Below are 24,174 nucleotides of genomic sequence, written 5' to 3'. Positions count from 1 at the left end.
GGGCGCGCCCCCTGCACCCTAGGGCCCCTTTTCAGCCCTGCCCTCTGCCGCGTGTGTGCAAATATGGGCACTTTCCTGCGGTAGGGTGCGCTTTAAACTGTCACTGAGATGGTAGGAGTGAGAGCCCCATTTGCTGTTACCGCGAATCCAGAGGGTGCCATCCCTTCAGGAGCAAAGAAGCGTCCTCTTTGGGGTCCTATTGAGAATTAGGGCAGTAAGGCCCGCTTACTTCGGCGGGCAGCCGGGTGAAGGAACCAGTCTGTAGAAATCCTATTCAGCCACTTGTAAACCTTGTGACCCCAGGAAAGTTTAACTTAGTCGCTGGAGGCTTCTGTTGCTTTATCTGTAAAATAGGAATGCAAAGATTACGCTGCGGGGTTGTTTAAAAGTCAGAAAAGGCCAGCACGGTGGCTCATGCCTGTAAACCCAGCACTTTGGGAGGCCTAGAAAGGGGTATTGTTTGAGGCCAGGAACTCCAGACCAGCCTGGGTAACACAGCAAGACCCTGTATCTACAAAATAATGTTTTACAAATTAGCCTATCATGGTGGTGCGCACCTGCTTCTTGGGAGGCAGAGGTGAGAGGATCGCTTGAGCCCAGGAGTTCGAGGCTCCCTAGCTATGATCTTAACACTGCACTTCAGCCTGGGCAACAGAGTGAGACGCAATCTCAAAGAAAAAAAAAAAAGAGGCAAGTAAAATGAGCACAAAGGGAGCTAATTTATATCTAGAATCAGCTACTAACATTAAAAATATTATACTTCAGGTATTTTGTTTCAGCTGCTAATTCACAAGTTTTGTTCCTTGTTTTGATAAATGTTAGCTGACGGTTTCTAGTATCTGATGGAGCTGCCTTCTCAAGAGTGCAAACTCTGAGGACTTTCTATGTGTAAGGCACTGCTAAGAGAGCCATATAAAGACAGATAAGACCTAGTACCTTTTCTTTGTGATTTAAAGTAAAGACGGCTGGGCACGTTGGCTCACACCTGTAATCCCAGCACTTTGGGAGGCCGAGGCGGGCAGATCACCTGTGGTCAGGAGTTCGAGACCAGCCTGACCAACATGGTGAAACCCCGTCTCTACTAAAAATACAAAAATTTGCCGGGCATGGTGGCGCATGCCTGTAATCCCAGCTACTCGGGAGGCTGAGGCAGGAGAATCGCTTGAACCCAGGAGGGGAGGCGGAGGTTGCAGCGAGCTGAGATCGTGCCATTGTACTCCAGCCTGGGCAACAAGAGCAAAACTCCGTCTCAAAAAAAAAAAAAAAAAAAAAAAAAGGAAAGACAAACTTGTAAATACAGCAGATTTAAATAATTTGAGATGAAAAAGATACTATGGAGTGCAAAGAGGTGATTTCTGGCTTAGAGAAATTGTTGGAGGTCTCATGGAAGAGGCTTCAAAGCCAACTCAAAATGCTTCAAACTGAATGAACTTTCACCTCCTTTCTCAAGCAGGCTCTTATCTTCTTTTGTTGTTGTTGTTGTTGTTGTTACAGAGTTTCGCTTTTGTCGCCCAGGCTGCAGTGCAATGGTGCGATTTTGGCTCACTGCAACCTCCGCCTCCCAGGTTCAAGCGATTCTCCTGCCTCAGCCTCCCGAGTAGCTGGGATTACAGGCGTGTGTCATCACACCCAGCCAATTTTTTGTATTTTTAGTAGAGATGGGGTTTCACCATGTTGGTCAGTCTGGTCTTGAACTCCTGACCTCAGGTGATCCGCCTGCCTCAGCCTCCTGAAGTGCTGGGATTACAGGCATGAGCCACCGCGCCCAGCCTCTTATCTTCTGCACTGTATTCCCTATTTCAGTAATGGCCTCACCACCCACTGATTTGCCAAGTTTTTGAGAGTCATCTGCAACTCCTCCATGTTCTTTCTTTCCTCAATACAATCAGGCATCAAGTTCTGCTAAATTTATCTCCTGGATTTTGTTCATATCCTTCCTCCTCCCTCCTCATGTCTGCCTCCTGTCATCTTTTGCTTGAATTGTTGCCAGTCTTGTAACTTGTCTCTCCACCTCCAATGTCTATCCTTAGTTGTCTTTCTAAAACTAGTATCTTACCATCCTTTGTACCCTCTCATTCAGTGTATCCCTACCTGGAATCACCTTTCATCCTTCATTTTGTGACCGCCTTCTCATCCTCCACCATGCAGTTGAAACATCACTTCTGTAAAGACTTCTCCAATTGTCCCAGAAAAAGTTAGGCTCCCCCAGGCCTTCATAGATAGTTCTCTTGTTACATTTATTAAACAGTATTGTGTAGTTATTTCTGTGCTGTCCTCAGAAAATGGACCGGATCTACTTTTGTATCCAGAGGACTTTAGCACTCAATAAATGATTATTGAAGGAATCAACTCTGGGATCATGGACAAATTCATTAAGGTGATAACACTGAGCTGGACCTCGAAGCAGTAGTAGAAGCTATTATTACTAGTTAAATTGTTTAGTTCATCTTTCCCTATTGTTCAGTGACAGGTCATTCGTACTTGTTCATTGTAAACCAGTGTTTCATAAATAAAACTTAGGATTTAAAAAGTTGTATTAAAAATGTTTATATTTGCCCAATTTACTTTTTACTCTGAATGATAGCAAGACACTTCACTAGCTCTTTCTGTGGTAATCATTTTGTTTTTTGCTTTTTTTTTTGAGTTGGAGTCTCCCTCTGTCACCCAGGCTGGAGTGCAGTGGAGCAATCTCAGCTCACTGAAACCTCCACCTTCTGGGTTCAAGTGATTCTTGTGCCTCAGCCTCCAGAGTAGCTGGGATTACAGGCACACGCCACCACGCCCGCCTAATTTTTGTATTTTTAGTAGAGATGGGGTTTTACCACGTTGGCCAGGCTGGTCTGAAACTCCTGAGCTTAGGTGATCTGCCCACCTCAGCCTCCCAAAGTGTGGGGATTACAAGCGTGAGCCACTGCGCCCGGCTCTGTGGTAATCATTTAAAAAGACTTAAGGCTTTGCCCTAGTTTCTTTCTGAAATATCCCACCAACCCAAAAGGTTATAACTGCATGAAGCATACTAGAGTGAGGGATTCTTCCTTGTTTGGAAGAACAACTCTTTCTCTGGCAACATGGTGTGGTTTAAGGATATATAACCCATAATTTGGTAAGTGTATACAAACATGGGCAGGAAGGACAGAATACACACAACTTCAACATGATGGATACCTCTGGAGAGAGAGATAGGGGAATGAAATAGAAGAATGGGAATTATCTGTTGATAGATAATGTTTTAATTCTTTTTAAGAGATCTGAGACATATGACAATATTAACATTTAAAAAATCTGGGTGCTTATTATTACCAATACTTTTCTTTATGTTTGAAATATTTTTTTAAAAAATTATAGAAGAAAAGAGACTTAGAACAGGAGTCAGAAAACCTGCAGTTTAGTCTGGGTTCTACTTTAACCTCAGTTTTCCTGTTATAAAAAAGATAGGGGCCAGGCACGGTGGCTCAGGCCTGTAATCCCAGCACTTTGGGAGGCCGAGGTGGGTGGATCACTTGAGGTCAGGAGTTGGAGACCAGCCTGGCCAACATGGCAAAACCCCATTTTCTACTAAAAATACAAAAATTAGCTGGGGATGGTGGTGCGTGCCTGTAATTCCAGCTACTGGGAGGCTCAGGCAGGAGGATCACTTGAGCCTGGGAGGTAGACGTTGCAGTTAGCTGAGATCGTGCCACTGCAGTCCAGCCTGGGCAACAGAGCAAGACTCCGTCTCAAACAAAACAAAACAAAAAAAAGGGAGGGGAGGGAACTGGTGAGACAGTCTATAGAGATGATGTAAGTCTTGTCCTAATTCTAATAAAATATGATTCTAATAATCTAGCCATGTATAAATTCCTCTATATGCTTATTTGTGAGAAAACAGTTTCATTATAGAAGCTGGTTCTGCAGAAGGAGCTTATTTTTAAAAATGTATTAGTGGGGCTGGGAGCGGTGGCTCATGCCTGTAATCCCAGCACTTTGGGAGGCCGAGGCGGGTGGATCACGAGGTCAGGAGATCGAGACCATCCTCGCTAGTACGGTGAAACCTCGTCTCTACTAAAAAATACAAAAAATTAGCTGGGCGTGGTGGCGGGTGCCTGTAGTCCCAGCTACTCAGGAGGCTGAGACAGGAGAATGGCATGAACCCAGGAGATGGAGCTTGCAGTGAGCTGAGATTGCACCACTGCACTCTAGCCTGGGCGAGACTCCGTCTCAAAAAAAAAGTATTAGTGTCTGTTTTTAGGTATTACTTTTAAATTCACAATATGTGTTTATTTCAATCCTTAGGGAAGGTATTTAAAGTACTTTTTAAAAAGTAATGTGTATAGGTAATTAAATTTTTTTATTTTTAATTTTTGTGAGGACATAGTAGGTATATATATTTGTGGGGTGCATGAGATGCTTTGATACAGACATGCAGTGTGTAATAATCACATCATAGTAAGTGGGGTATCCATCCCCTCAAGCATTTATTCTTTGTGTTACAAACAATCCAATTATACTCATAGTTATTTTTAAATGTACAATTAAATTATTGACTATAGTCACCCTGTTCTGCTATCAAACACTAGATCTTACTCATTCTTTCTAACTACTTTTTGTACCTATTAACCATCTGCACTTTTCCCCCATCCTCAACTACCCTTCCCAGCCTCTGGCAACCATCCTTCTACTCTCCATCTGCATGAGTTCAGTTGTTTTAATTTTTAGCTCCCACAAATAAGTGAGAACATGTGGTTTGTCTTTCTGTGCCTGGCTTATTTCACTTAATGACCTCCAGCTCCATCCATGTTGTTGCAAATGACAGGATCTCATTCCTTTTTATGGCTGAATAGTACTCCATTGTGTATATGTACCACATTTTCTTTATCCATTCATCTGTTGATGGACATTTAGGTTGCTTCCAAATCTTGGCAATTGTGAACAGTGCTGCAACAAACATGGGATGCGAGTGCAGATATCCCTTAGATACACTGATTTCCTTTCTTTTGTGTATATACCCAGCAGTGGAATTGCTGGATCATATAGTAAGGTACTATTTTTACTCATTTACATTTGAAGGACTAAAATGTTATGATGATCAATGGTGAACAATTCTAATAAGGGCCATGACATGGAGATCCCACCAGTCTTCTCCTATGACCCAGAGGGGCTGTTTATGCCCTCATTTAGCACTTTACAACACACAAAAGGCTTTTGCGTCATCTTGTCGCATTTGATCATCCAATAATACTGTGAGGTAAGGGGATAGGGTTTTTGGTATTTGTCAGATTTCCAAGTTAAACATGGTATTTACTGGAAAGAAACTGTAAGAGCCAATATTTTACTTATAGTCAAGGGAAAAAAGATCTGAGGTGACCCAATTTCTAAGCAACATTCTAAAACCCAATTTCTGGGTTAATTTGTCCCTACATTGCATTCCTTAGCCCAGAAGTCACAATTCTTTTTTCACTAGCATTTTTTATTGTTTTTTATCCTTATGTAGACTTAAGTGTCTCACATGAAAAAGTCTTGGAGTAGCCCACCCAAACTTACCAAAAATGGATTTTGCAGCAGAGCAAGGCCAACCCAGCCAAAATTGTGACAAATAAGGTTTTACGGCCCCCATTTTAGCAGCCTCCTTTTTGTCCCTTGTTTTTGTTGTGGGTTTCTTCTCCTCTCATGACCAGCTCTGCTTTACTCATAGTAAACCTTCTTTATTCATATTAAACCTCTAAAGTGTTTTTAAAATTTTATTTTTAATTGACAAATAATAATTGTATATATTTATGGGGCACAATGTGATGTTTTGATACATGTATACATTGCGGAATGATCAAATCAGGCCAATTAGCATATCCATCACCTCAAATATTTATCACTTCTTTGTGGCTATTTTGAAATAAACATTATTGTCATTATTATTAATTATTTTTAGAGGTGGGGTCTCTCACTCTGTCGCCCAAGCTGGAATGCATTGGCACAATCATGGCTCACTGTAGCCTCAACCTCCTGGGTTCATGCGGTCCTTGCAGCTCAGCCTCCCAAGTAGACCACAGGCACGAGCCACCATGCCCTTTTTTTTGTTTTGTTTTGTTTTTTGTTTTTTGGAGACAGGGTCTCATTATGTTGCTCAGGCTGGTCTTGAACTCCAAGGCTCAAGCAGTCCTCCTGCCTTGGCCTCCCAAAGTGCTGGGATTATAGGCATTATAGGCATGAGCCACCATGTCCAACCTGAATCTGTTGTTTCTTAAGGATAAAGGAATGGCATGTCTTTGAGTCTACAGTGATTTGCATATAACTGGCACTCAATAAATGATTGTTGAATCAAATTGGACACCATATCAGTATTGATAAATATTTAGAGACAAGGTCTCAATTTGTTGCCCAGGCTGGAGTGCACTGATGCAATCATAGTCACTTACCGGGTTCCTTTAGCTATATTAACTCAGCGGCTTATTTAGCCTGCTTTTGAAAAAGACCACCTTTGGCTGTAGCAGATTTATAATTATTTCCTTTCAACATGACTTCTAGCTGTCTCTGCACCCTGGTTATCTAGAACACAAGTGGTCTAAATCCTCAAGTGGCTCTAACAATGGTAGATATTGGGGGAGCTGCTTCATATAGCACAAATCTGTTTACTGGGAAGTCGCTGGTTCAGCATCTCATGGTTCATCCCTCTCTGATTAGCTTCCTGGCCCATATTCCCTTGGATTAGGAGTTTGGTGGGATCCTTAGCCATAACATTCTTGAGTTGCAGAGAATGTGTATCTCAGATCCCATTTTCAGAAATGTCCTTGCTGTAGATAACAGACAGTTACCTACTTGTATCTTGAGAAATAGTAGTGTAAGAGAAAGAAGATTGGTCTGAATACTGGTTAGAATATAAATATGTTCTAATCCTGGTTTTACTATTAGGTAACTGAAACTTTAGGTGCATTATTTGATACCTCTTCCTAATCTTCAAAGATATTAGACTAATTCTCATAGATTCTATGATTTTATGATTAACGGAGTATGAGATCCTTTTTAAAATCCAGATGGCAAGGGCAAGCAGAGCAGATGTTGCCTGACACTTACAGGAGAACGCCCTGGATAAGAGTGCCTTAATCACACGGACTGGGTCTCACTTGTGTGGGAATACCATGGGTCCCATAAGGACTGAACTGGACTAGAAATGAGAACACCCTGGATATGAGTGCCTTAATCACATGGGGTGGGTCTCACTTGTGTTGGAATACCATGGGTACAATAAGGACTGAACTGAACTAGAAATGAGGATAATGATACCTTCCCCACTTTCTTGAAGGAATGGAATAAGCTAAGTTGAAATATCTTTGAAAATCTATATAGCATTATCTCTATAGATGCTATTTTTAATCAAGGAGAAGGTGTTTAGATATAATTCTTCCATGGCAAATTATAAATATACCATCTTTAATGTACTGGATACTTATCTTTGCGTTGTTTTTTTCAGTGGTGATAATGGCTTTGCATTGAATCATTTATAGTCTTTCCACCAGTTCTTCTCGGGATAAATAGCATACATTTGAAAGATCGGTAATTTTGAGAAGGCTGCATGAGACCATGAAACAAAGCAAAGCTGACTAGCCTAAGCTGAACTCCAGTCCATGACTCATCACTAGTTTGTCTAATCATTTAGGATAGCAAACTAAGCATAGGCTTATGTATGACAGGAATGCAAAATCCCAGGTTGAATTTTTGGGCCCCAAATTTCATGAAGTATCAATGTGATAAATCTTTCTCTTTACCACTTCCTCCCCGCTAAAACAATTGCAGAAGTATGCATTGGGCCTAGCAGCAGTACGTGTGGCTGAATTAGGGGTATTGAGTTGACTAGAAGCTCAATGTGAGTCAACAGTGTGTGTGGCTGCCAAAAAAAGCTGATATAATCTTAGGTTGCATTATGAGAAGTATAGTGTGCAGAACACAAGGAAGATGACTATCTCATTCTGTTCTGTGCTGACCAGAGCACACCTGAAATTAATCTAGCTCTGGGATAGCTACACGACATATAGATCATCTTGAATATGCAGAAAAGAGAGATCTAACAGCAACAACAACAACAAAATGTTAAAGGCACTTGGAACATATATTTAGCAAAACAAGGCAAACAAACTCAGGAAGGATATTGTCACTTCATTCAGATTTCTGAAGGGGCCACATATAAGAGGTTTTTATTTGTTCCACATGTCCCTAAGGAGAGGAGCTGGAGTCAATGGATAGAAACTAAGGGAGGAGGCCAGGCGTGCTAGCTCACGCCTGTAATCCCAGCACTTTGGGAGGCCGAGGCGGGTAGATCATGAGGTCAGGAGTTCAAGACCAACCTGGCCAACATGGTGAAACCCCGTCACTACTAAAAATACAAAAATTAGCTGGGCATGTTGGCATGTGCCTGTAATCCCAGCTACTTGGGAGGCTGAGGCGGGAGAATTGCTTGAGCCAGGACCCGGGAGGCAGAGGTAGCAGTGAGTAGCAGTGGGCTGAGATCGTGCCACTGCACTCCAGCCTGGGCTACAGAGCAAGACTCTGTCTCAAGAAACTTAGGGAGGATATTTCAGGCCAATACAGTTATTTTCATTGGGTGATATAAAAAAAAATGAAATAGGCAGTCTCTGCAAGTGATGAGTTCTCATTCAGGGTGTTCAGGTACGGTCCAGATGACCACTTGGTGGGAGTGTTGTAGAAGATAGTCAGTCATCAGATGGGTAGTTGAATTACAGTCTGTGATTTCTGTATATTGCTGTAATATGAACCAAGAAAACCTTAGGGATGTCAAATCCAAAGAACCATAAATAAGCCAAAGAACGATACAAGACAGCCTGGTATTTGATGAAGTAAAAGTCAGTAACTGTGAGTTTACTGAAGAGCCAGATGATGGGAAGATTTTATTATTAACTTTTTTAAAAGTATGTTTGGTTGGATTTGGTTTAAAGGAAACACTTTATTGCAAGAGTATTTGGACCCTAGTTTCTGGAACCTAATGGTGAAAAGAGTTCTGGTCCCAGAATCTGGGGATGAAACAACTACCTCATGGTTGCAAAGAGCAATTTCAAATTGGAAGTGGTTGTATCTGGAGAATCGTAAGGGGACAAAAATCGATGGGGGTTAAGAGGTCAAATAGGTACACAGCCCGGGGCGAAACAAGTGTGTAGAAAGAATTATGTATTTGTTAAGTTAGGCCAAACAGACTTATGTTCTATACTTCACCATCTGCAGATAATTGGCATCTTAAAATACTTTATACTGAAGCTAAGTAGATTGTGTACTCTGAGAAGCTATAAGGTATACTAATGATTCATTGTGGAGGGCTTACAGTATTGTAATAACTTACCAGGTTCTCTGCCCCAGCAACAAACTCAACCACTGGCAAGTTCAGCCCCACCTTAAACACTAGACTAGTTCTGCCCTCACTCCTAGAATCTGAGTCCTACTTCAGATCTCAACCTTGCTTGCTGCTAGCCCTGCCTGAATTAATGTCCCAAATCTAATAACTAGTTTAGGGCATTAAACCTTTTTGTGGCTGGGCATGGTGATTCACACCTGTAATTCCAGCACTTTGGGAGGCCAAAGTGGGAGGATCTCTTGAGCCCAGGAGTTTGAGACCAGCCTGGGCAACATAATGAGACCCCATCTTTAAAAAAAAAAATCAGCTGGACATCATGACATGTGCCTATAGTCCCAGCTACCTGGGGGGCTAAGGTGGGAGGATAACTTGAGCTCAGGAGGTAGAGGCTGCAGTGAGCCGTGATTGTGCCACTGCACTCCAGCCTGGGTGACAGAGTGAGAACCTGTCTCAAAAAAACAAAACAAAACAAAAAAAACCCTTTTGTGCTCTAATCTTGAATCTCTTGTTTCCTTAAACTCAAGTCTCTTTCTGATATCTCAGTGCACAGCCCCCTTTTAAACTTAGCATTGCCAAAGACTTGAATCTGGAATCTGAATTTTGTGTCCTGCTACCTCTTTTCTGTGAGTTGTTTTTTGGTTTGTTTGTTTTGAAATGGGTTCTTGCTGTGTTACCCAAGCTGGTCTCAAACGCTGGGACTCTAGCTGTTCTCCCACCTCAGCCTCCCGAGTAGCTGGGACTACAGGAGCACACCACTGTGACTGGCATATCCTGCTACATCTTGCCAGACTAACATAGACTATTTCCTAGACTGCCATTGCCAAATCCCAGAGCCCCAGAGCCCCACCTTTGTGCCTGTGTGAGTGCAACAGTTACAGCCTTCAGTTCTAAGAATCAGGAATTCCTTCATCATCCGAATCCTCTCTTACAGTCTCATGTTTCTCTCTGATCCCAGTGAGTTGGTCTGACCACACATTCTGCACCTAGGGAGCCAAACTGATACTGGCCTGTGTTGGAGCAACACACTGACGACCCTTTTCTATACTCAGCCTCTGCAGTCACTAGCCAAAAAGAGCTTCTTGCCGGACTTCCAGGCCATGCATCTGGGCAGCACAGCCCCACTATGTACTTGTCCTGTCCAGACTCTGGAAAGAGTTAGTTTCAGTAGTCCATGGCAAGCTGCACAGTTTGTCTTACAGATGGCTTACAACCATTCAACATTTATTCTCTTAATTGCTTAGATGTGTTTTGTTTTGTTTTTGTTTTTGTTTTTGTTTTGAGACGGAGTCTCACTCTTGTCGCCTAGGCGGGAGTGCAGTGGCGCGATCTCGGCTCACTGCAACCTCCGCCTCCCGGGTTCCAGCAATTCTCCTGCCTCAGCCTCCCAAGTAGCTGGGATTACAGGCATGTGCCACCACACCCAGTAATTTCCATTTTTTTAGTAGAGACAGGGTTTCACTATGTTTGCCAGGCTGGTCTTGAGCTCCTGATCTCAAATGATTTGCCCGCCTTGGTCTCCCAAAGTGCGTAAACCACTGTGCCCAGCCCATTGCCTAGTTTTGTAAACAAATATTAAACGAACCAGACATTGGGGTCAAACATGAATAAGTCATATGGTGCTTCTTCTCATAATTATGATAATAATACCTTCCATTTCTTGAGCACCTGCTATGTGCCGGGCACTGTGCCAGGCCTGTAAGTGACAGATTTTATAGGGGCTGGAAAGTGCATTGTGAGGGGTAGGAGGAAAAGCTGGATAGTTTGTGTTACATACATAAGGCTCCAAACACAGCACATGGTTAGTGCTTAATAAACAGTAGCTATGTTTACAATATTAGGTGATAACATTACCAAAAGTACCATGCAAGTCCAGAGGTGGGATAAACAGTAGCTATGTTTACAATAGTAAGTGATAACATTACCAAAAGTATCGTGCAGGTCCAGAGGTGGGATAAACAGTAGCTGTGTTTACAATAGTAGGTGATAACATTACCAAAAGTACCGTGCAGGTCCAGAGAGGTAGGAGAAAAAAAATATCTGAGAGGTATGGAGAAAAAAAATATCTGAGTTAGGAGAAAAAAAATACCTGAGCCAGAGGGATGTGTGGAAGGCACAGGAAGGTCAATCAAAAAGAAGGAAAAGCAAGACCACAAGCAGAAAAAGATAGCCATTGCAGAGTAGCTAGTCTATCTGGAACATAAGAGTAGATGAAAGTCTGCGTTGAGACAGTGTATGTGTAGCAGATCTAGAGAGTTCTAGAGACATGTGTGCTAACGAAAGGACCATAGCCATAAAACCCTTTACTGTAGTCACAGGAGAAAATGATTGCATGAATTTGTAAAAACCGGAAGGATAAGACACAAGCCTGAAAATTATTCAATTAAAGGAAGGAAGATTGCAGACTGCTTAGTCACCTGAAGAGAGAGAATAGAGCTTACAAAATGAGAGGAGATGATTACATCACTTAAGTGAGCATTGATCAAGTACTTGGCAGGACAAGTGGAAATGTTTTTCTTTTAAATAATTCAAGCCTGCAGTCTTCCAATTCAGTTTAAGATAGTTTGAGTCTGCTATATATAAATGTGGATAGTGTTCCAGTGATAAATGAGTAGAATTCAAAGGAGGAATAAGTAAAACGTATTATCTGTGTTCAACTAAGAGTGCATGAATAAAGCCCTGGTGGTAAATATACAGTAGCCTCCATTTGAAGGTGTATAAGGGAAAGGAAATACTATTTGCTTGTTGACCTGGATTATAATGTACTTAACCCATATTATTCTAGTATAATTAGAGAGAGTCAAGCCTGATGCTCCAAAGACATTTCTGTTTCTTACATTCTGTTTCTATCAGATAGACTTAACTCAAAATCTATGACAGACTCTCATGGCTGGTTGCTCATATTTCTCTCAGTATTTTCCTGAGTTAATCAGTACAGAAAGTGGCAGGGAACCAAATGATGTTAAAAGAGTATTAAAGCTATAGGCATATAATATAGGATTATATAGTAATGATACTGTTTAACTGATCATTTTTCTGTTCATTGGGAAGCGGTGTTCTTATTTTATTAGAAGCAGCATGGTACAGTAGCAAAATTGTGTTTTTAAAGTTCTAACTCTGCTATGTATTAGTTATATAAGTTACTTTTTTGAACTTTCTTTTATTCTTTATCATGAGATGACAGTACTTGCTTGAATGGTTGCTTCAAGGATTACATGAAAAGCAGGTCTGGGAAATAATTAGCAGTCCAATGCCCAGCTCTCAGTAAGGGCTCAGACATGTTAATTCTCCATGTCTCCCCTACAGGAAAGCCTCTCATGAAGTTGCCTAAGGAGCACAACCCCTGGAATAACCTTAGTGTTGGTTACTCAAGAAATCTGTGTTTTTTTTTTTCGAGGGTAGATTTTACTTTTGAAAAAACAGAAATTAACTCTGAGCTAAGTTAATGGATGATCAGGTTAGAGGTGTTCACAAATAAAGTATGACTGTGAAATAATTGGCTTCCTTGTTGGGATTGTAGATGGACTCTGAAAGCAACTCCAACACAGAAGTTCCAGAAAAGTGTTAAAGCAAAAACAACATTTTTGGAATCAGTTTTGGATAAATTCTTGTATGCTTAAACTTCAGCATTGTTACTTTATAATCACACTTCATTTCCGTGGAAAAGGTGCTGCAAACAGAATTGATAATAGAGACCAGTGGAGAGTGAGGAGAAAATAAAACCAAAGAAAACATGTAGAGGCCATCCCACTGACACAGAGCCTAATTGAAATATTTTTAAATTCTTTCTTTAGATACAACTCAAGCCTGGTTGCTAATGATTTGTAAAGTCTCATTTCTGAATCTATATTATATTATATTCTCTCAGAGCAAAGCAGTCTTCAGCTCAGTATACCATACCTTAAAATAAATGTATCTTTGTCTTTGCTAATATCCTTGAGTTTCCAAGACTTAAAAACTTAAGCCTGATTCTTTGTTCTTACATTAAACTTTTACTGTCATTCCTGTTTGTGAACTGTCTTGCATCCTGCCCCTTCTCCAGTCTTACTGCATCCACCATCATCACCTGCCTGCCTGGATCTTGCCTGCGTCATTGTATTAGCAAAGAAGCTGTATTAGCTAGGAAGCTAATTTCTCCTATTTCAGTGTGTTTGTCTTCTAGTAGAGCCTTTTCAGCGTAATAGTTTAAGCTTAATATTCCTAAAATAACACTCCCATCTTATGTGTATATTTATTACAATACCCGACATTGATGTATAGGTAATTGTTTATGAGAGAATCATTTAGTTTCAGAATTTTTGATTCGATTTTGAGATATTTGAAAGCATGAACTATTTTATTAATCTGTGTCAGTAGTGCTTAGTACAGGGTCTTGCATGTAGCTGTGTCACTTCAAACAAGTTCTTTAATGGCTCTGTGCCAAAGTTTCTTTGTCTGTGAAGTGGGGATAATAATATCTTTCTCAAAGGATTGCTTCATTAAAAGAGTATGTATATATGTGTATCAAAAGGTAGTTTTTCTATTATAGCTTTTGTATATGTTCACTTTTTTTTTTTTTTTGAGACAAAGTCTTGCTCTGTTGCCCAGGCTGGAGTGCAATGGCATCATCTCAGCTCACTGCAACCTCTGCCCCCCAGGTTCAAGCAATTCTCCTACCTCAGCCTCCTGAGTAGCTGGGATTACAGGCGTGTGCCACCAGGCCCAGCTAATTTTTTGTATTTTTAGTAGAGATGGTGTTTCACCATGTTGGCCAGGCTGGTCTTGAATTCCTGACCTCAAGTGATCGCCTGCCTAGGCCTCCCAAAATGCTGGGATTACAAGCATGAGCCACCACACCTGGCCACTTTGGTGTTATTATAGCACTCAAAAAAAGTTACTGCTTTCTGGCTGGGCGCAGTGGCTCATGCCTGAAATCCCAGCACTTTGGGAGGCCGAGGTGGGTGGATCATGGATCGAGACCATCCTGGCTAACATGGTGAAACCCCATCTCTACTAAAAATACAAAAAATTAGCAGGGCATGGTGGCAGGTGCCTGTAGTCCCAGCTACTCAGGAGGCTGAGGCAGGAGAATAGCGTGAACCCGGGAGGCGGAGCTTGCAGTGAGCCAAGATCATGCCACTGCACTCCAGCCTGGGTGACAGAGCTAGACTCTGTCTCAAAAAAAAAAAAAAAAAAATTACTGCTTTCTTATTTTAGGCAAACTCCTTTTTTCCTTATTTTTTTTTTTGGAGATAGGGTCTCATTCTGTCGTCTAAGCTGGAGTGCAGTGATGCTGTCTCGGCTCCCTGCAACCTCTGTCTCCTGGGCTCAAGCCATTTTTCCTCCTCAACCTCCCAAGTAGCTGGGACTACAGGCGTGTGCCACCACGCCTGGCTAATTTTTGTATTTCTAGTAGAGACAGGTTTCGCTATGTTGCCCAGGCTAGTCTCGAGCTCCTGGACTCAAGTGATCTGCCCGCCTCAGCCTCCCAAAGTGCTGGGATTACAGGCATGAGCCACTGTGCCTGGCCCAGTTTCTTGTTTTTATCTTGTCTCTCCAGTAAGAGTGTAAGCTCCTAGAGGACAGGGACCATCCTATATTTCTTTCATATGCCCTACTATACATGGCATAGTTCTGGGCTTTTATTCATTAATTTAATAAGCATTTCTTAATGAATATTTAATGTACAATATTATGTCATGGGATATAATAATTAATAAGACAAGGTCTTTAATAGTGTTGAGGCACCTCCATCCTAATGCGAGCTAAAGATACTAGTATTTAGTATTTCACTTAGTGCTATGGAAGACTTTGTAGCAGATGATTAATATTCTCAGATCTATTAATTACATAAATCTGGGCTCTAAGCAGAGTATGAGCAGGGTGAGTGCCTGGCAATAAGGGCTCCCAGTCTGCAGCAATATCTGAGGTGAGACATGATAAAGGACTGAACTAAAGCCCTAGAAATAGAGTGGGGATGGATTCAAGAAGCACTGTGGAAATGAAAATCAAAGGGATTGTGATGGCTCCAACATAGAATATGAGGTGTAGAAGACAAGGATGTTCAGGATGATTCTGGCCTCTTGTCTGAGTATTGGTTTAATAATATAAGCCATTTAGGAAATAAGAGCCATGAGGAGAAAAAGCCAGTTTGGAGATTAAGATGCCCCTGGGACCTCCAGAAGGAGATCCCTGTGAATGGCTGGAAATTCAGGTCTGGGGCCTAAGGATTGGAATTTGGACTAGAGAGAGAAAAAACTGGAAATTTTAGCAAATAGTGGTTGTTGAAGCCATGGGAATAGAAGAGATCAGGATGTGGAAAGATGAGAAGTATAAAGTACCTGAGACAGAAATGTTCAGAGAAGTTAGAGGAGATGCAGGAATCAGCAGGCCCCCAGTGTCAGTGTCCAGCAATATTAATGCTGCAGTGAGACCAATTTGCCATTATGTGTTGAATTCAGCGTTTGAGAGAGTATTGAAAAGGTGGTCCCTGGCTCAATAAATAGCGATCAGAATGAATTGAATAGAGGGCAAGAAAGGGTCTTTGAAGATGAAATAGGGCCTTTTTTTTTTTTTTTTTTTGAGACAGTGTCTTGCTCTGTCGCCCAGGCTGGAGTGCAGTGGCGCATCTCAGCTCACTGCAACCTCCACCTCTAGGGTTCAAGTGATTCTCCTGCCTCAGCCTCCCAAGTAGCTGGGATTACAGGTGTGTGCCACCACACCCAGCTAATATTTTTGCATTTTTAGTATAGATGGGGTTTCACTATGTTGGCCAGCTGGTCTCAAACTCCTGGACTCAAGCAATCCACCTGCCTCAGCCTCCCAAAGTGCTGGGATTACAGGCGTGAGACACCATACCCAGCCTTCAGCTATGATTTCTTTTTCTTTCTTTCTTTTTTTTTTTTTTTTTGAGACAGAGGCTCACTCTGTCACACAGGCTAGAGTGCAGTGGTGCGATCTCAGCTCACTGCAACCTCCGCCTCCCAGGTTCAAGCGATTCTTCTGCCCCAGCCTCCTGAGTAGCTGGGATTACAGACAAGTGCCACCATGCCCAGCTAATTTTTTGTATCTTTAGTAGAGACGGGGTTTCACCATGTTGGCCAGGCTGGTCTCGAACTCCTGACCTCGTGATCCACTTGCCTTGGCCTCGCAAAGTGCTGGGATTACAGGTGTGAGCCACTGCGCCTGGCCTGGGCTTTTTAAAAATGAAGCTTTCTTGAACATTTCTTGTGAGAAGTGGGAAAAAGGCCAGAAGAGAGAGAGAAATCAGTATCTGTAGTGTTCTAGGATATGGGCTAACCCCTTTACATGATTTTGTGTTTAATCTTCATTATCACCTTATAAGCAGGGGTGTCCTATCCACTGGGCATGAGACTCAGCATGGTTAACTAACTTGCCCAGAGGAGTCAAGAATTGTTTGACTAAGACTAAACCCTTTCCACTACACGTGGCCATTTCCAGGCTGTTATCCATCTCTAATCCTTCACTAAAGAAAGTGAAGTTGGTCTGGATACAGAAGAGGCTGGAAAGGTTAGTGGGGCCAAGGTCACTGTGGACAAACTGCATGAGAGGAATAGGGACACTGTCCCCATGACAGGAGGCAGGATATAAAGAATAAACTACACAGGTAAGACCTAGAGATGGAAAGCCTCCCTAGAAGTGAGAACTGAGGGAGCATACTGGAGCCTTAGCTGGTCATTTCCTAAGAGGGAGGGGTAGAGGAGGGCATTATGCAGAGATCAGGAAACACTCAATAATTGACTACTAGAAATCATAGCTGGGGACAGGCACAGTGGCTCACACCTGTAATCCCAGCACTTTGCGAGGCCAAGGCAAGTGGATCACGAGGTCAGGAGTTCGAGACCAGCCTGGCCAACATGGTGAAACCCCGTCTCTACTAAAGATACAAAAAATTAGCTGGGCATGGTGGCACTTGTCTGTAATCCCAGCTACTCAGGAGGCTGGGGCAGAAGAATCGCTTGAACCTGGGAGGCGGAGGTTGCAGTGAGCTGAGATCGCACCACTGCACTCTAGCCTGGGCGACAGAGTGAGCCTCTGTCTCAAAAAAAAAAAAAAAAAAAAGAAAGAAAAAGAAATCATAGCTGAAGGCTGGGTATGGTGTCTCACGCCTGTAATCCCAGCACTTTGGGAGGCTGAGGCAGGTGGATTGCTTGAGTCCAGGAGTTTGAGACCAGCTGGCCAACATAGTGAAACCCCATCTATACTAAAAATGCAAAAATATTAGCTGGGTGTGGTGGCACACACCTGTAATCCCAGCTACATGGGAGGCTGAGGCAGGAGAATCACTTGAACCCTAGAGGTGGAGGTTGCAGTGAGCTGAGATACGCCACTGCACTCCAGCCTGGGCGACAGAGCAAGACTCTGTCTCAAAAAAAAAAAAAAAAAAAAAAGGGTGACCAGGCTTGTGCTCACACCTGTAATTCCAGCACTTGGGGGAGCTGAGGTGGGAGGATCACTTGAGGCTGGGAGTTTGAGACTAGCCTGGGCAGCATAGTGAGACCCCATCTCTTAAAAAAAAATGGGCAAAAAATTTGAATGGACACCCACCAAAGAAGATGGCAAATAAGCATAGGAAAAAATGCTTAAAATCATGCATCATTAGGGAATTGCAAATTAAAACAACGAGATCCTACCGTACACCTATTAGAATCTAAAACATTGACAACACCAAATGGTGATGAGGATGTGGAGCAACAGGAACTCCCATTCATTGCTGGTGGGAGTCAAAACAGTACAGCTACTTTGGGAGAGTTTGACAGTTTTGTATAAAATTAAACCTACTCTTGCCATATGGTCTAGCAATTGTCCTTTTGTATTTAGTCAGAGGAGTTGAAAACTTATGTCTACACAGAAACCTGCACATGAGTGTTTATGGCAGCATTATTCACAGTTGCTAAAACTTGGAAGCAACCAATATGTCCTTCTGTAGATAAATGAGTAAATAAACTGTATGGTACATCCATATAATGCAATATTATTCAGTGCTAAAAAGAAACAAGCTATCAATCCATGAAAAGACATGGAAGAACCTTAAATGCTTATTATTAAATGAAATAATTTGAAAGGCTGTATATTATATGATCCCAACTATATGTAATTCTGGAAAAGACAAAACTATGGAGATAGTAAAATGATCACTGGGTGTCAGGGGCTTTAGGAGGAAGAGATGAATAAATAGACCAGATGGGATTTTTAGGGCAGCGAAACTATACTATATGATACCATAATGATAGATACATGTCATTATACATTTGCTAAAATCCATAGAATATACAACACCAAGAGTGAACCCTAATCCAAACATATGGACTTCGGGTGATAATGACGTGTCAGTGTTGGTTCACTGGTTGTAACAAATGCACCACTCTGGTGCTGGATGTTGGTAGCAGGGGAGGCTGTGTGTGGAGGCAGGGGGTCTGTGGGATAGCTCTATGTGTTCCACTCACTTTTGCTGTGAACTTAAAATGCCCTTTAAAAGTCTACATAGGCCGGACACAGTGGCTCATGCTTGTAATTCCAGCACTTTGGGAGGCCGAGGCAGGTGGAATGCTTGAGCCTAGGAGTTTGAGACCACCCTGGACCACATGGTGAAACTCCATCCTACAGAAAAACACAAAATTAGCTGGGCATGGTGGTGTGTGCCTATAGCCCCAGCTACTCAGAAGGCTGTAGTGGAGGATCACCTGAGCCCTGGAGGTGGAGGTTGCAGTGAGCTGAAATTGAGCCATGCACTTCAGCCTGGATGACAGAGTAAGATGCCATTTCAAAAAAAGTCTATGTAAAAAAGTTGAGGGGGGAAGGATTGGGAAATCAGTATATTGTAGAAAAACTATGTGAAAATATTTTATGTTTACATAAAATTAAGTTCCATTCCCTAAAGAATAAGGGATAAGATATAGAAAAGCTCTAGATTCTCAAGATGATGGAGAGCACCCAAAGCATTCTTTTTCTATTTTATTATTTTTTTTAGAGGTAGGATTTCACTCTGTCACCCAGGCGGGAGTGCAGTGGTGCGATCATAGCGGGGACTACAAGTGTGCACCACATGCTTGTCTACGAACCTGAAGTATTCTGATGCAGTGGAGAGAGTGTAGAACTCTGGAGTGAAGAGATCTGCCTGGAACCCTGACTCTATCACTAGGTAATTCCTATAATCTCCCTAGGCCTGTTTTCTCAGCTGGAAAATTGATTGATTTGTGGTATTTGAAGTGCCTTTGAGCTTGGGATATCCATGCTGGTGTTTGGCTACAGTATAGCATAGTGGCTAGAGCACAAACTCTGGAGTTAGAATGTTTAGGTTAAACCTCAGCAACTCACACCAAAGGTATGTGACTGTGGGCAAGTTATTAGCCTCTCTGAGCCTCAGTTTCTTCATCTGTAGACTGGGGATAATAATAGTAAATATACTGCTGAACAGTTTTAAAGATTCAATGAAAAAAAAATCTATAGAAAGTGCCCGACACACAGTAAGTAGAAGATAAATATAAGCTATTATAATTACAAAGTGTATATGCTGTTATTCTGATACCCTTTTGCTACCGCTGAGAGCACACTACTCTATACCTACATATAGTTGCAAGGAACAGGAGGTAAATGGAATTAACCAATTGGAGTTTGCCAGGTTCCCCGTTTGGGAAAGGAATGAAAGGAATCTTCAAATATCTGAGTGGTCAGGACCTCTGGGTTATGACTCAGCTACAGTCAACTGTCAGATTTTCCCACAGCTCAGTGGAAAGTCACTGAAGACTCCGTGAAAACAGTGCCATCTCTCCTTCAGTGTTTCTCTGCTAGGATGCACTGCTGACTCTGGAAGTCTGACCATATTTTTGTCCCAGCAGGCAGAGGGATTTAAGCAGGCTTGGTTGATTTTTCACCCAAAATGTCTGCAACTGTTTCTGCTGTACTGATGATGCCACAAGGCTCAAGCCTGTGAGAGTTTATTGTCAACCCCACTGCAGGGCATCAAAGAAGAAAAGTTTGGGGTCTGGATTGTTTTTCCAGGCAGGAACAATGATGTAGTGACTATCATAGATTATTTCAGAGTTCAGAATCTCATGTCTCAATTCCCCTTGCTGCTCTCTACCTTTCTCTGTGGATGAAATTAAGATTATGGATGATGGCCGGGCGTGCTGGCTCATGCCTGTAATCCCAGCAGTTTGGGAGGCCGAGATGGGTGGATCACCTGTGGTTGGGAGTTCAAGACCAGCCTGGCCAACATGGCAGAAACCCCATCTCTATTAAGAATACAAAATTAGCCGGGCATGGTGGCGCATGCCTGTAATCCCAGCTACTCAGGAGGCTGAGGCAGGAGAATCACTGAACCTGGGAGGCGGATGTTACAGTGAGCCGAGATTGCGCCATTGCACTCCAGCCTGGGCAACAAGAGTGAAATTCCATCTCAAAAAATAAAATAAAAAATAAGATCATGGATGTCAGCTTGAAAGATAACATTAGTGATAGTCACTGAGATTTTTTTTTTAAGTTTTCTCAGATTGCCCCAGCAGAAGCTCCATCTGTTAATGTAATTGTCCACAGATTAAACAGAAGTGGAAACATCCACATAATTTGCTTATAATTCTAACATCTTTTGAAATCTTAGGTCACTTCCTCAAATTTGAGTTCAAGAACCCTTTTTATCAATCTGTTTGAATGTTTCTCAATCTTCCTCTTTCTAGCCTTGCAGAGAAATCTCACAGCCAGATCTACACCATGATGTTCAAGTAACTGAGGGGCTAGTGATCTGGGACAAAGTACCTTTTCTTTCTTATGTTCCCCTTCTTAAGAGTAGAGTTGCCATGGTCCAAAGCTGGTCTGGAATTTCCCCTGCATTGAGGTCTACCCAATACAAGAATCGATTTTAAACCTAAATCTCTCGCCCAGGTATGAATTTCCTTATGGCTGCCCCAGGACTGGATACTGGATGCCATTCAACAAATATTGGTTTTTATTACACCCCTTTTAATAGCATTTTAGTGGCCTTGGCACCTCAACTCTGAATGTTTCTCCCTTTGGCCCTCCTACTTCTCTGTATACCTTTTTGTCTTCAGGTGGATCATTGGGATCTGCCCTTGGCAGAAAAATCTACACTGTGGTACTTGAAATGCCATGATATACATCTTAAAACAAATTTTTTTTTGGGACAGGGTCTCCTCCCTCTGTTGCCCAGGTTAGAGTGCAGTGGGCACAATCATAGCTCATTGAAACCTTAAACTCCTAGGCTCAAGCAAGTTTCTCACCTCAGCCTCTTGAGTAGGTGGGACTACAAACGCACAACCACCATGCCTAATTTTTTTTCTTTTTTGTAGAGACAGGGTCTTGCTATGTTGACCAGGGTGGTCTTGAACTCTTGGCCTCAAGGGATCCTTCCACCTTGGCTTCCGAAACAGCTGGGATTACAGCCGTGAGCCACCATGCCCAGCCATGATATACTTTTTTTTTTTTTTTTTTTTTTTTTTTTTGAGACCGAGTCTCATTGTGTTGCCCAGGCTTGAGTACAATGGCGTGATCTTGGCTCACTGCAACCTCCGCCTCCCAAGTTCAAGCGATTCTCTTGCCTCAGCCTCCCGAGTAGCTGGGACTACAGATGTGAGCCACCACGCCTGGCTAGTTTTTGTATTTTTAGTAGAGATGGGGTTTCACCATGTTGGCCAGGCTGGTCTTGAACTCCTGACCTCTGGTGATCCACCCACCTTGGCCTCCCAAAGTGCTGGGATTACAGGCATGAGCCACTGCGCCCAGCCGAAATACATTTTTTAGATGAAGAAATTGAAGCCCAGAAAAGGTAATTGGTTTTCCCAAGGTCATATAGGGACCTACACATTAACAGAGGTCAAGCCCAGAACACTGACTTCCCTGAATCCTGTTCCATAGTGACACTGTTAAGCCAGTAAGTGTCACCTTTTTAAAAATATGTATTTCCGAAGTAGGGGTTAGGAGGAATGGAGGGAATGAAACGCTCACTGAAGAAAGGATAGGGCTAAAGGAAGGATAGAACCCACACAAGGAAAGGGCTCTGGGTAGGCAGAAGGCCTAGGGAAATAGTATCTGGCTGTGGACAGGGAGAGGAGGTGCCATGGGGTGAGGAAAAGGCACAGAGAGAGTTGAGAGACCACCATCACCACATACTTGGCCTGCTTGAAAATCTAACTCGGCCAAACAGATATAAGTGCCCCTCCAGATCTTATTATTTCTACAGCTGTGACTTAACTGCTGCTTATCTTTCCTCCAGGAGATTCCTTGGAATGAAACCAATGGGAGTCCAGGGTTTGGGAGAGTCTCATCAGAGCAGATGGGCGAGCAGCAGCCAGAACGCTTGTTGCCTTTGGCTGAGAACACTATCCTGGATCTGAATGTCTTGTGAGCAAACCCCAGCAGGCTCAGCCTTAGGCCTGAGTGAAGTTGGCCTGCTTCTCCTTAATGAACCTTGTGTACTCTCTCATCTCCCTTCCCCTCTTTTGCATGTTGAAAATCACATTCTCAGAGCACTCTTGAAGCTAAAACCACGTTGCCCGTTAGCAGCCCCAGTAGGATGGCATCTTAATGCTTTTGGTCCCTTGATATATTTGGAAGTGTACTGCATGGAGGGTCAGGAGGCCTGGTTTTAGCTCTTACCCAACCACTAATTTTCCCTGAGACCATAGGCAAATTGTTCATCCCTGGGCCACACTTTCCTTAGCTGTAAAGTTGTTTATAATAAGAATAGCTTTCATTTAGGAAATTTTTACTGTATACCAGATATAGTATCATTGAATTCCTTCAACAATCCTATGGCATGGGTACTTTTTTTTATATGGAATCTTGCTCTGTCACCCAGGCTGGAGTGCAGTAGTGCTGTCTTGGCTCACTGCATCCTCTGCCTCTGGGTTCAAGCAATTTCCCTGCCTCAGCCTCCCAAGTAGCTGGGATTACAAGCATGCACCACCATGCCCGGCTAATTTTTGTATTTTTAGTAGAGATGGGGTTTCACCATGTTGGCCAGGCTGGTCTTGAACTCCTGGCCTCGAACGATCCGCTTGCCTCAGCCTCCCAAAGTGCGGTGATTACAGGCATGAGCCACAGCCCCTGGCCAGCATAGGTACTATTGTTGTCCTGCTTCACAGATAAGGAAGCTGAGGCTTAGAATTTTTATACCCTAACCATCCCGTTTAAATTACTAGCCCTTACCCATGGCCAGCACTCCTTTCTCTGCCTTATTTTAGCCATAGCAGTTTTTTTTTTTTGAGATGGAGTCTCGCTCTGTCGCCCAGCGCAAGCTCACTGCAAGCTCTGCCTCCTGGGTTCATGCCATTCTCCTGCCTCAGCCTCCTGAGTAGCTGGGACTACAGGCACCCACCACCACAGCTGGCTAATTTTTTTGTATTTTTAGTAGAGATGGGGCTTCACCGTGTTAGCCAGGATGGTCTCGATCTCCTGACCTCGTGATCCGCCCGTTTCAGCCTCCCAAAGTGCTGGGATTACAGGCGTGAGCCACTGCGCCCGGCCAACCATAGCGTTTATTACCATCTAAGATGTTACATATTTTACTTTTTGGGTTGCCCTCTCCTTCTGTGAGAGTGTAAGCTCCATTAGGGAATGGATTTTTATCTTTTTATTCCTGTTGTTATTGTTCATTTGCTGTGTCCCCAGGACCTAGAATTGTGCATGGTTCATGATAGGTACTCAATATTGGTTGAATGAAAAAAGTGAGTGAATGAATTCTTGTTAGGAGTGTAAATTGGTATAGATTCTAAGGAAGTCATTTTGGCAATAGTAATACTTAACATGTGCTAACCTTTGGACCCTGCAACACCAGAACTAGGAATTTATCCTATAGATGATGTATTCATGTGTCTGCCTAAAACCATGGG

At 42.7% G+C, this 24,174-nt stretch overlaps 1 long non-coding RNA gene across 2 annotated transcripts in view, besides 1 other annotated feature; it reads left to right on the top strand.

Annotated features, from left to right (window-relative positions):
• Window positions 1-24,174, top strand: part of ADORA2A-AS1 (ADORA2A antisense RNA 1) — a 65,869-nt gene that overhangs the window by 623 nt on the left and 41,072 nt on the right. For both annotated transcript variants that reach the window (NR_028484.3, NR_028483.2), the window contains exons 2-3: window positions 19,299-19,469; window positions 22,557-22,684. This is a non-coding gene — a long non-coding RNA (ADORA2A antisense RNA 1). The remainder of the gene's footprint in view (window positions 1-19,298; window positions 19,470-22,556; window positions 22,685-24,174) is intronic.
• Window positions 14,731-14,918: a silencer, noted in NCBI's record as "fragment chr22:24875502-24875689 (GRCh37/hg19 assembly coordinates)". NCBI's record gives its function as "represses an EF-1alpha promoter that drives an FKBP-Casp9 reporter gene in an ReSE screen in K562 erythroleukemia cells {active_cell/tissue: K562}" and the evidence as "EXISTENCE:reporter gene assay evidence [ECO:0000049][PMID:32094911]".

This window comes from Homo sapiens, chromosome 22 (genome assembly GCF_000001405.40).
Source record: "Homo sapiens chromosome 22, GRCh38.p14 Primary Assembly".
In the NCBI taxonomy this organism is placed as follows: Eukaryota; Metazoa; Chordata; class Mammalia; order Primates; family Hominidae; genus Homo; species Homo sapiens.
The sequence above is the reverse complement of the archived record's forward strand: the minus strand, read 5'-3'. Positions and strand labels throughout refer to the sequence as shown.